The following is a 12,828-nucleotide window of genomic DNA, read 5'->3' on the forward strand; positions in this document are numbered from 1 at the left end:
AAAATCTGAACCGTGAGAACACATTATCTATTCATGAAAATGAAGAAATTAAAATAAATATAGTTCATGCATGAGCTGCTGCTCTAGAGAGACAAAGAGAGCTGACACAATAAGAAAAAAACAAAACTGTCACAAGTTCAGGCAGGCAGCAGCTCCAATACATTTTGTTAAAAGCAAAAGTTTCTTCACTTTTAGAAGAAGAAAAAAAGAACCTAAAGTCTATAATTACAGTATTATATTTACTGTCAAATTTAAAGGGAAAAACAAAATTACCTTTTTCTCTTCTCTAATAAGCATATAGCATGAATCACAAACTCAACTGCCCATGAAGCCTGGGCAGGAAACTTAAATGAATGAAGAAGGCCTGGTGACAAGAAAATCACGGGCGCTTTGGGAGGCCGAGGCAGGAGGATCACGAGGTCAGGAGATCGAGACCATCCTGGCTAACATAGTGAAACCCCGTCTCTACTAAAAATACAAAAAATTAGCCAGGCGTGGTGGCGGGCGCCTGTAGTCCCAGCTACTTGGGAGGCTGAGGCAGGAGAATGGCATGAACCCGGGAGGCTGAGGTTGCAGTGAGCTGAGACCGCGCCACTGCACTCCAGCCTGGGCGACAAAGCGAGACTCCATCTCCAAAAAAAAAAAAAAAAGAAAGAAAATCATGGGAACCATGAGGAAGTCGAGATCAGATGCCATCTGGAGGTGGCACTGTCACCGGGTGACAGAGGGGCTTCAGGCAAGGCATCTCTACAACATCCCAGCTAACGTGTGTGCCCTCTCTGTGCACCAGGCACTGAGTGAAGCCCTTTCCAAGAACTGTGTCAAAGAATTATCTCAACAATCTCATGGGGGAAACTATTATTATCTTCATTTTACACATGAAAAGACCAAGGCTCAGAGAAGTTGAGTCACTACTTCCAAATCACACAGCTGGACTTCTAGGGCCAACCTGACAGACAATCTGCACCCTTAAGCACTCTTCCCCAGCTTCTTGCAGACACTTAAATGGAAGGATTCCCATCCAGGGGCACTTTAGGACCTCCCTCCAACAGACCCTGTTACTTTCACAGCTATAACTCCATCTTATGTAATAAATATTTTTTAATGCATATGTGTTTAATATCATTTCTGTGCCTGTGTAAGAGCTTGGTTGAGTTGAATTGCAGTTGACTAATAGAATATTACATCTTTTGTAAAATATATTTCTTTTTCTTTTTCTAGAGAGACAGGGTCTCGCTCTGTCACCCAGGCTGGAGTGCAGTAGCACCATCGTGGCTCCCTGAAACCTGGACCTCCTGAGCTCAAGCAATTCTGCGTCAGCCTCCCGAGTAGTTGGGACTACAGGTGCATGCCACCACACCAGGCTAATTTATTTTTATTTTTGTAGTGACAGGGTTTCGCTATGTTGCTCAGGCTGGTCTTGAACTCCTGAGCTCAAGTAATCCTCCCACCTCAGCCTCCCAACGTGCTTGGATTATAGGCATGAGCCATTCCACCCAGCCAGAACATCTTTATTGAAGTATAATTTACACAGCATAAAATTCATCCATGTTAAGTGTACAGTCCCACGAGTTTTAGTTACACAGCTGTCACCATCCCTACAATCTGGGTTTAGGATCCTTCCCTCACCCCAAGACGTTCCTCCCACTCCTTGGCAGTCAATCTCATTTCCCACTCCCAGCCCTAGGCCACCACGGATCTGTTTTAGGTCTCTGTGATTTTGCCTATTCTGGGCACTTCATGTAGCTGGAATCCTCCAGTGTGTGACTTTTGTGCCTAGATTTTTTCAATTGGCATAAGAGCTTTGAGATTCATTTATGTTGTGCATGTATCAGTAGTCTGTTCCCTTTAATTGTTGCATTGCGTCCCATTGAAGACTTGTGCCACAGTACGTCCCAGTTTATGGGCATTCCTAATTGTTGACTAATATTTATAAGATCTCTACAAACATTGGTGTCTTCACATTTTAGTCTTTGAGTGTCGAGCCTTTGTTTCTCTTGAGAAGCTACCGAGGAGTGGAGTTGCTGGGTTGTATGGTTAGTGTATGTCTAACTTTTCAAGAAACTGCCACACCATCTTTCGCTTTACATTCACGCCAACAATCTATGAGGGTCAGAGGACTTTTTATTAAACATGTACTAATATCAATTCTCATATTTATTTTCTTCTTTGGAGCTAACACGTAAACATATCTATAATTTTTTTTCAGATTTCACCCATTTCTGCAGGGAGAAAAGCTCATAAGCCACGGCCCTACGCCCACCTTTGTGCCCGCAGAATAAGGAAACCCGCCAACTACACACCACAGTTAGAAAGCCCAAGACCCTGAAAAGACCTGCACCCACCCCCAAAGGGGCGGGGCTGGTGGGCGGAGAGGAGGCGGGGCGCGCTCCTTCAGCCCCGCCCACCAGCCCTGGACTCCGGCTCCCGAGGAGCGGAGCTAGCGGGTGAGCCAAGGGGATGTGCACAGGCCTCCTCAGTCCCGCCCAGCGCGCGCGCGCGGCGGCGAAGCCGGCGGGCGGGGCCGGGGAGGGCCCTCGCCGGGTCAGCTCCGCCCACCCTCCCCGGCCTCCGCCCGCCTCCCGGGTCAGCGGCGCGGGTGCTGCGCCTAGCTGCGCACCATGGCCGGGTTGCTGGCGTTGCTGGGTCCGGCAGGCAGGGTGGGCGCCCGGGTCCGGCCTCGCGCCACCTGGCTCCTGGGCGCCACCGCCCCCTGCGCCCCGCCGCCCCTGGCCCTGGCCCTGCTCCCGCCCAGGCTAGACGCCCGGCTGCTCCGCACGGCGCGCGGGGACTGCCGCGGCCACCAGGTAAGCACCCCACCCCGACCCTGATCCCGGGCGGTGTCCAGGTCCCCAGACGTCCGCAGGGCCGCGCCGGGGTCCGGCCGCCTCCGCCAAGGACGCCTTTGCACTTGTAGCTGCCCGGGACCGAGCTCTTCCAGGGTCCCCGAAACCCCAAATCCCTGCAAGCCAAGGAAGCGATCCTCCTAGTTGACAGCCAGAGAAACTGAGGCTCGGGAAGGTGTGGCGCTCTGCCCAAGGTCGCGCAGTCTTCGGCCGAGCCCCGGGTCTGCAGAGCCTCAGCCAGGCTGGGGCGCAGCCGACTGACTTGGTCTGAACTTCCACACGTTGCCTGCGGAGTTGTTGTCCAGGCCTTCTGGCTGGGTCTCGCTGTGTTTTGAACACCTCCCGACGCTCGCTGCTCCTCCCTTTTCTTCTGAGTGGAAGAGCAGGCGTCCTCAGGGAAGCCGCGGGCAAGAAACCCACAGTGCTGTTTGTTATGTTTCATTTCCGTCACTTTCCATTGGTGCTAAGTGAAAACTGGTTTTCCTTCAGAGCAGTCATACCAGCTTTCCTTTCAAGAAATCTATCACTTTCTTCCAAGTGAGTCTTTTTAAATAAAAATAGTAGTAAATGAAGTCTGGCGGTCCAGGAATGGCAAGCCCAGACACGCGGAGCCGGCGTCCAGCCCGGAGCGCATCCGGCCTGGCAGTCTGGAGCCTCTTTGTTTGCCTGGGTGCAGACAGGGCCCCTCCATTCATCGCCCGGTGACCTCAGACCGAGTCCTGAAGGCTTTTGAGCTTGTTTTCTGACCTTTAGAGGGCCAAAAATAGCACCTTCCCAGCAAGAGTTTGGGAGACAACTCCATGAGCTGGTGCAGGCCTCAGCGGAGTGCCGCCGGCCCAGCGAACATCTCCTGACCGTTTCCTAGCTTTTCAGTAAGGAGCGGATGGGGATTGGACCCAGGCTTTCATCATGCCTCCTGCCCAGATCAACTTCCTTCCTTGCCTTCTCCAGTCCGACAGGTGGCACACAGGTCTTGGGGATCCTCTCCAGAGTGGCACCTTCTGCACACACCGTGCCGCCTCCTGATGATTCTTCAGGGCCCAGCCCAGCTGTTCCTTCCTCCGGGAAGCCCTCTCTAACGACCTGTGAGGTCTCGGATGCCTCCACTGGGCCTGCTTCCACCCCATGGCTGTGGGTCTTCTCTGCACTCATCTGGAATGGCCTCTTGTCCTGCCTGTCAGCCACATTGACCTTGTCCCCAGCTCAGGCCCTGGCACTGGAGCGGTGTGTGTGTATACAGTGGCAAAGAGTTGGCCTCAGACTCCCTGGATTCCTCTCTCTACTCACTTGTTGTTGACTTTGATCAAATTCCCTTCTCTCTATCTCAGGCCCCTCATCTGTAAAATGGGACGTTAATAATTCAGACTTCATAGAATATGAATGTAAAATGAGATATGTTCATACCTGGCATCTGGTGTGTCCTAAATTAAGGTTAGAAATGACTATAATTGCAGTAAATATATACAGTCACAAGGCCCCAGGGCCCCGTGAGCTGTCCTTGTTTCTTCTGCACCGTGGTAAAATCGGCAGAAACCCAAGTGGGATCAGAACCTCAAAGGAGATTAGGACAAAAGATAACTCATCTGCCTGAGAAAACGCGTCCCCAGCAGGGCCTGGGAGCAGTGCAGGGAGGGTCTGGGCTTGGCCAGAGCCCAGAACCTCCCCTGTCGTCTGTTCTGGCCGCCCACCCTCGTCGGGAGGTAGGAGTGTGCTGCCCAGCTGGGCTCTCCAAATTTGCCAGGTGTTTAATTAAGAGCCAAAGAGGCCCACCCACGCTGCCTTGGCAGGGGGTCTCTGTAAGAGGGGTAGGGAAAGCCACAGAAGAGACCTGCCTTTTTGTCTTAACATGATTCCATGTCCTGTAAACCGCCTAGCAGCCCCGCCTGCCTGTGCCACTTATTCCTTCCAGGGACGTAGGGGGAGTTCAGGCAGATGACTTGCTCTCCCAGAGCCCCAGTGTCCTTTTGTCTCCGTCAGTTCTGGTTCCAGTGGCACCTTTTCAGGGAGACCTTCCCTGATGGCCTTATTTAACATTCCTCCTACTCCCTGTCTCCCGCCCCATTGGTGTTTCTCTATGGCACTTGTCACAGGTAGCAGCCCTGGTATTTTACTCTTCTGTTTATTGTCCCTGCCTTCCCATAAGACCATAAGCTCATCGAGGGTGGGGTTTTGTCAGTTTTTTCCATTGCTCTGTCCCCTACACTGAGAACAGTGCCTGGCACAGAGGAGACACTCATGAATACACGAGGAGTAACATAGCATGGTTGTTCAGAGCAAAGGCCCTGGACCCAGACTCAGCGAGTTTGGATCCCAGCTCTGACAGTAATCCCTGTGTGATCCTTGGTAAATTACTCAACCTCTCTGGGCTTCTCAGATCCTCTTCTGTTAAGTGGGGTTGACAGTAGTCAAGGTTGTTGTGAGGATTATATGCATTAATATTTCCTTTTTTTAAAATTAGAGATGAGGCCGGGCGCGGTGGCTCACGCCTGTAATCCCAGCACTTTGGGAGGCCAAGGTGGGTGGATCACCTGACGTCAGAAGCTCGAGACCAGCCTGGCTAACATAATGAAGCCCCGTCTCTACTAAAAATACAAATATTAGCCGGGCATAGTGGCACGTGCCTGTAGTCCCAGCTTCTCGGGAGGCTGAGGCAGGAGAATCGCTTGAACCCGGGAGGCGGAGGTTGCAGTGAGCCAAGGTCGTATCACTCCACTCCAGCCTGGACGACAGAGCACGAATCTGTCTCAAAAATATAAAATAATAAAATAAAAGATATGTTGGCCAGCTTGGTCTTGAACTTCTGGCCTCAAGCAATCCTCCTACACCTCAGCTTCCCAAAGTGTTAGGATTACAAGCATGAGTCACCGTGCCCAGCCAATATTTTCAAAGTACTCAGAACAGTGCCTAGTACAGAATATACACAATATAGTGTTTATTATTAATATGATTTCTCAAGTGGAAGAAAACAGGTGTCACTCCAAACACTGCGATCGGCTTGGCAAGGTCCTTGGCTCATTCTTTAAACCTTCCTACCCCCTCTCTATTACAGGTTTTTGTACTTTAAAAAATGTTGGGGAGAGGCAGAAGGGGCATCTCACACACACACTGTCTCACACACACTCTCACACACATGTGCATGCATGCTGAGTACAGACAGAAGATGTGTCACGCCGTCCTGTGCATTCAGGACAGTGCCTAACACATCCCGGGTACTTACGGCAATGTTTCACGAAGAAATGAATGTCTAAAAATTTTCCATTGCCTGCAAGTCACGCCCTCATAAATTCTTTTATTTCAGCTTCTTTAGTCTCCCCAAAGGTTAGGAAGAAAAATGCGTGGCTCACAGTGCTTATAGATGGGTGTTTTTATCAAAACAAAAGGAATAAAATTGTCCAGTAACTGGGTGTTCTCTAGAATGTCAGAAGCCAACCGTGGTGCCAGCTAACCCGAGATTGTCCCTGTGTCTGAATGTCTTGGCCCTACCACAGTCTTGCAGTAGATTCTGCTCAGTTCTATAGCTGGAATCCTGGCTGCCTTTTTATTTTTATTTTTTGGCCAAAAGTCCTTTTGCCAAAATAAAGACTATAAAGAAGAGGGCCCTCGCAGAGACAGCTGCAGTCGGTCCAGTGATTGGACAGAATGGGGCCAGGTGTCAAGGGCATGGGTGTTTGGCCCTGCGAGGGGCTGTAGGTGGCCTCCTATCAGTCCCCACCACCTGGCTGCTGTCCCCTCTGCAGCCTCCCTCAGCAGCTGGAGGTGGGTGGGGCTTGTTTATCAGGAAGAACCGATGCCCTCCACAGCCATCCTGGCCGGGGGTGGCAGGACTAGTCAGAAGGCTTCAAGGAAACGGGAGGTCACATGTGCTGGCCAAAGAAAGGGGGGCTGATGACATCTTCCCTCCTCCCCTCCAGAGCCTGGACATTCTGGAAAAGTGTCTTCCTTTAAGAATGGTCATTCTGGCAGGACAGGAAAGGGGAGCCTGCTGAGTACCACAGAGGCTGAGGCCTGGTGGTCACCAGCCCAGTCACCAGTCCATGCTGCCAGTTAGCCGTCCCTCCCTCCTGAGCCTCAGTCATCCATCTGTCAAAACAGGAGCGACAAAGGTTCCTGGGTCATGAGGCAGTGAGGGATTTATGAAATGACGCCTTTGAAGTGGAAGCTCAACTCCTGGCTCAGCAGAAGGGACCTGTCATCGGGACACTGAGGGTTTTCCTCAAATGTTCTAAAAAATCTTATGCCTCTAAAAATAACAGGGTAAAAGTGGGCCAGCTGCAGAGCCCATAACAAGAGCTGACCTCCAGCCAGGTGCGCATCACCTGCCGGGACAAGCCCCAGGACTGTCCTTAGAGAAGTCTTTTGATTAAAGTGCTCTGTTATTGAGAAGTGGTTTTTTTCCCTCCCCTAATGTGGGTGAGGTTGGTATTTTTGTTTCTCCCACACATTCCAGGCTTGGTAGGTGCTCAGTAACTGTTAGCAGATGTCCCATGCAATCCATGATTTCTGTACAAGTCCTGGTAGGGCACTGTGCAAAAATCGCCCCCACTTTGTGTGTTTCAGATGTCAGGTGTAAATCTTGATTCTAGGAGTAAATCTGCCATCGCTTTTGCTGCATTAATTTTGTGCGCACCGTCCTTTTTTGATGGCATATAACATGGTTGTCACATGCTCAGGCTGTGGCCTTGGAGGGCCTGGGTTCTAATCTTGGTGACATCAGGCCAATGACCTCACCTCAGCAAGCCTGTGTTGCTCCTTTGCAAAGTGGGAAAAGCAGTAGTATCTACCTCTGAAGGTTGGCATGAGGATGGAAGGAGAAAGGGTTGGAGGACCACCTGGCTCAGAGAAAATGCTTGATAAAGGATCATTGTCCCCAAGCTTGTGAGCCCTGGTGTTTTAGTTACTATTGCTGCTGTAACAGATGAGCACATAACCTGGTGGTTTAAAACAATCCACATTTATTATCTTACACTTCTAGAGGTCAGAAGTCCAAAATGGGTCTTAATGCACTAAAGTCAAGGTCTCAGCAGAGATGGGTCCTTCTAGGGGCTCGAATCCATGTCCTGCCTTTTCCAGCTTAAAGCCGCTTGCATTCCTTGGCTCATGGCCCTTGCCTCCATAAGCCAGTAGCACCGCATCTTCAGCTCTCTCACTCTGCTTCTGTCCTCACAACCCCCTCCCCGACACTGAGTTTCCTGCCTCCCTCTCTTCACTTATAAGGACCCTTGTGATGACGTTGGTAATAATGTAGCCCAGGTAATCCGGGATCATCTCCCTATCTCAAGACCCTTAATCACATCTGCAAAGTTCTTCTGCCATGTAAGGTGACATATTCACAGATCCTGGGATTGGGACATCTTTGGAGTCATCATTCTGCCAGCCATACCTAGTTCCAGGCTTGCATTGCACTTAGTGACTAAGTTGGCTCAAACTCGGCTCACTGAGTAGGAAAGGGGTAACTGATCCACGCCTGTAATCCTAGCACTTTGGGAGGCCAAGGCGGGTGGATCACCAGGTCAGGAGATCAAGACCAACCTGGCTAACACAGTGAAACCCCATCTCTACTAAAAATACAAAAAATTAGCTGGGTGTGGTGGCACACACCTGTAATCCCAGCTACTTGAGAGGCTGAGGCAAAAGAATCCTTTGAACCAGGGAGGTGGAGGTTGCAATGAGCCACAATCATGCCACTGCACTCCAGCCTGGATGACAGAGTGAGACTCTGTCTCAAAAGAAAAAGGAAAGGGGTAACTGATCTCTCATCCAGCAGGAAAGAGTATAACATTGCATGCGTGTATAAAAGCCGGTAATGACTGCCCGTGCCTGCCCTAAAGCACCTCCTCTTCTCTGATTTGTACACAGGACCCCAGCCAGGCCACGGGGACAACAGGCAGCAGCGTCAGCTGCACAGAGGAGAAAAAGCAAAGCAAGTCACAGCAACTGAAAAAGATTTTTCAAGAGTATGGCACTGTTGGCGTGTCATTGCACATTGGAATCTCATTAATTTCCTTGGGCATATTTTACATGGTTGTGTCAAGGTAAGATTTTTGACAGTAATTAATATTTGTTTTTTACTGTCATGTAAGATTCTATGTGAATAAGAACGTGTTTGCTAAGACTTTTTTTTTAAGACAGGGTCTCACTCCACTGCCCAGGCTGGAGTGCAGTGGCATGATCACAGCTCACTGCAGTCTCGACCTCCCTGGGCTCAAGTGATCCTCCCACCTCAGCCTCCCAAGTAGCTGACACTACAGGCATGCACCACTGCACCCAGCTGATTTGTTTGTTTGTTTGTTTTGGGGGACGGACTCTCGCTCTGTTGCCAGACTGGAGTGCAGTGGCGTGATCTCGGCTCACTGCAAGCTCTGCCTCCCGGGTTCAAGTGGTTCTCCTGCCTCAGCCTCCCGAGTAGCTGGGACTACAGTCGCATGCCACCAAGCCTGGCTAATTTTTGTCTTTTTAGTAGAGCCAGGGTTTCACCCTGTTGGCCAGGATGGTCTCAATCTCTTGACCTAGTGATCCGCCCCCTCGGCCTCCCAAAGTGCTGAGATTACAGGTGTGAGCCCCCGCGTCAGGCCGATTGTATGTTTTTTTGTTGTGTTGAGACAAGAGTCTTGCTATGCTGCCCAGGCTGGTCTTGAACTCCTGAGCTCAAGCGATCCTCCCACCTCGGCCTCCCAAAGTGCTAGGATTACAGGCGTGAGCCACTGCACCTGGCCACTAAGACTTTTATTCATTCAGCTACTTCATTACATTTTTTAAAATACTGTAAATCTTATAGCCAAATCAATTTCTTCATTTAATCCCTTGCTGTAATAATTGTTTTCTTTGCTTCTTCCCCCCTAGTGGTGTGGACATGCCTGCAATCCTGCTGAAACTCGGATTTAAAGAGTCCCTGGTACAGTCAAAAATGGCAGCAGGCACAAGTACCTTCGTGGTGGCCTATGCAATCCACAAGCTGTTTGCGCCAGTGAGAATCAGCATTACGCTAGTCTCTGTGCCCTTGATTGTCAGATATTTTCGAAAAGTGGGATTTTTTAAACCTCCAGCTGCAAAACCTTAATGAACTCTTCAGTCGTACACACTGAAAACCTATTTCTTCTAAATTACATGATTTGGATTGGTTTTAGGGTTTTAGGGTTGTAGGGTTTCTTTTGGAGAGGTAGGGGGCTAATTGCTATGTTCTCATGGATAAACTTTGCCAGCAAAAATCAGGCTTTTGAACAATTTTAATTTTTTGCCTCATAAATTTTGTGAATGCTATTCATTATAGGGCTTGTATATATAATCTAAAATGTCAGCAAGGCATCGGAGATGGGTTAACATCTCAAAACAAAATAGCCTACAAATGTTCCTTGTGGGAGACTTTGGCGAGGGTCTGTGGGTAAAAGCACCAGGGGGTTAATCTTGGCTCAGTTTCCTAAAAAGCATTGATTAATTTAACTGGCTTTTAAATATCCCCTTCCGCTGATATTTGTTGTCAGCTGCCTACAGTTTAATATGCAGCGTTCACAAAACAGCTGCCAGTGCTACAATTAATGAAGCAAAACTTAATATGTAATCACAATCTAAATTAGCATCAATACTTTGACATTCATTACATTGGTTTGGGGGAAGAAAAGTAGTTCTGGTATGTTTCATTGATCCCCAGATACCTTCCAATCTGGACATGATGGGGCTGATTCCAGATGGTTTTTCTGAAATTTCATTAAGGTAGGTCAGCGTCATTTGTCTCTGTTTAGGTAAAATATAAAAACCCTGCCCAGTAGCAGTGGCATCGCTTGGTTCCTGATGCCCATGTTCCAGAGGAATTCGGATACCACAAACAGCTAAGACAATCTCAGCTTTTCTTAGACAATCTTCTATCTCAAACTTCAGACATTCCAGAATTGTCATGATGTTTACACTGTCTGAGTTAAAAATCCTGTTCAAGAAAAAAAAAGATTTTGTATCACTTCTTAAAAAGGAATATTCATAGCACTTGTCACAAATAGAAGGCAACCATGAGATAATACAAGCCAGGGAGAGGCTTGTATTACATGACAGGTGTAATTAGTCTGCTGAGCCAGCTTTACCCAATGAAGGGCATATGTGTTAGAGAGATTAGCTAAGAGTAGAAATTCGAGCATAGAGGCCAGGTGCGGTGGCTCACGCCTGTAATCCCAGCACTTTGGGAGGTTGAGGCAGGCGTGTCACTTGAGGCCAGGAGTTCGAGACCAGCCTGGCCAACATGATGAAACCCCGTCTCTACTACAAATACAAAAATTAGCCGGGTGTGGTGGCACACGCCTGTAGTCCCAGCTACTGGGGAGGCTGAGGCAGCATTGCTTGAACCCAGGAGGTGGAGGTTGCAGTGAGCCAAGATCACACCACTGCACTCCAGCCTGGGCGACAGAGGGAGACACTGTCTCCAAAAGAAAGAAATCCCAGCGTAGATCCAAACTGAGACACTGAGGCTTCGTCCTTATAGTAGTCAGGAGCAGGCGATTGAAGTAATTCTGTCCTGCGGGGTTCAGCATCATGCACGTTCCCCCTGGGCCATTCTCTGATGCAGGGCACTTGCTCCACACTCTGGGAACCCAGATTCACCAGTCTGCCCTGTCACGTAGTTGAAGGAGTTGCATTTATCTTTCTGGCTCCTAATTCCTTTAAAATTACATTTGTTGCAGAACCTCCACAAGGCTAAATAAAATTACATTTGTGACCATCAGAGAACTGAATAAACCATTAACTGGCCATCCTGGTTTTGCAGAGATCAGGTTGTTGACAGTTCCTGGTTGACCCACAGCTACCCATGTCAGTTATCTCCACTAACATATCCAAGAATCTTTGTAGGACAATTTCTCCACCTGCAAGGTCTTTCAGGTAGAACTCTTCTTTTAAGGCAATTAGCCCATTGCCAAAAGGTTTTACTGTCTTAAAGCTGTCTTTCTGAGATCTAATTCCAAGGACTTCTCCACAGCTAAGTGAGATGCCTCACACCATTAGGTGATGCTTTGGACAGAACAGAGTATTTTCATCTTGTGTTTAAAGCAATTCCTTGGCTTCGGCTCCTCACCACTTTCTATGCCAGTCTCCCATTTATGTCCCTAGTAATGCCTATGCAAAAAAAAAAAAAGAAAAAAAAGAAAAACTGATGGTGAAACCTACAGGTTTAAGGGCTTAAATCTCAAACTTTGTTAGGAGTAACAGGAGCGTGCTGAGCGGGCAAGCAATAAAACAAATCATACCAAAAAGCCACATTGCTCTCTCCTAAGCCCCAACCCCACTCCACTCCTGTGGCCAGGGGTCCAAACAGAAAATAACCGGAGAAGACAAGGAGGTCAAAGGATCAGGGAACTAAGCATTATGTGAATTCACCAGCAAGATGTACAGAACGCCTGTGTTTACATTGTTTTTATGGAACTAGCAGAATAAAACATCTATTTTAAAAATGAAAGCCATTGTTTCTCTAATTTATCTGACAAAGTGAGCAGCTTAAATTCTGTGAAACATCTTTATAGTTTATGAACTTTTTTATATTCCTTCTGGTAAGCCATGGTTGTTGCTGATGATGAAGTGGCACTGTGACCAGTGTATTAATGTGCTACTACAATGAGCTTTTTCTTTGCTTGTGTGGGATTGTCTGGGGAAACGTCCCAAGTCTCACTGGTGTCACTGGGAAAGTCAGTCACGTGATAATAACTATAGCTTGGGAGGGTGGCACATGAACTATTTGGGAAGGTCAAAGTCAGTTCAGCTCAAGACTATGAGAACCAGAAGCCCCTTTGTCCCAAGGGGGCTGGCAGCTGCAGTTTTACTGAGTCATGTTTTTAAGTTTCTCTATATTGGCCACTTTGTTATGACATATCCTGACATACCTGCTGTCCAGTTTCTTGCACTGAGCATTGGCCATGCAAGCAGATTTCTCTACTAGCTCTAAGTTCAACACTTCTACTTTTCCTTCATCACAGTCACTTTCACCGTATCTTTAGTCGATGGACAGATG

At 48.5% G+C, this 12,828-nt stretch overlaps 1 protein-coding gene across 1 annotated transcript, besides 3 other annotated features; it reads left to right on the forward strand.

Moving 5' to 3' along the window:
* Positions 2,267–2,866: a silencer, noted in NCBI's record as "silent region_13057". NCBI's record gives its function as "represses an Ori minimal core promoter by ATAC-STARR-seq in GM12878 lymphoblastoid cells {active_cell/tissue: GM12878}" and the evidence as "EXISTENCE:reporter gene assay evidence [ECO:0000049][PMID:35858748]".
* FAM210B (family with sequence similarity 210 member B) lies at positions 2,590–12,279 on the forward strand. Its single transcript, NM_080821.3, has 3 exons — positions 2,590–2,807; positions 8,703–8,878; positions 9,687–12,279. The coding sequence occupies exons 1-3, from the start codon at positions 2,622–2,624 to the stop codon at positions 9,901–9,903; spliced, it is 579 nt and encodes a 192-aa protein (NP_543011.2). The 5' UTR covers positions 2,590–2,621; the 3' UTR covers positions 9,904–12,279.
* Positions 5,833–6,022: a silencer, noted in NCBI's record as "fragment chr20:54937273-54937462 (GRCh37/hg19 assembly coordinates)". NCBI's record gives its function as "represses an EF-1alpha promoter that drives an FKBP-Casp9 reporter gene in an ReSE screen in K562 erythroleukemia cells {active_cell/tissue: K562}" and the evidence as "EXISTENCE:reporter gene assay evidence [ECO:0000049][PMID:32094911]".
* Positions 6,589–7,089: an enhancer, noted in NCBI's record as "H3K4me1 hESC enhancer chr20:54938029-54938529 (GRCh37/hg19 assembly coordinates)". NCBI's record gives its function as "activates a minimal SCP1, AML or CMV promoter by ChIP-STARR-seq in primed H9 embryonic stem cells {active_cell/tissue: H9 hESC(primed)}" and the evidence as "EXISTENCE:reporter gene assay evidence [ECO:0000049][PMID:30033119]".

This window comes from Homo sapiens, chromosome 20, assembly GCF_000001405.40.
Source record: "Homo sapiens chromosome 20, GRCh38.p14 Primary Assembly".
In the NCBI taxonomy this organism is placed as follows: Eukaryota; Metazoa; Chordata; class Mammalia; order Primates; family Hominidae; genus Homo; species Homo sapiens.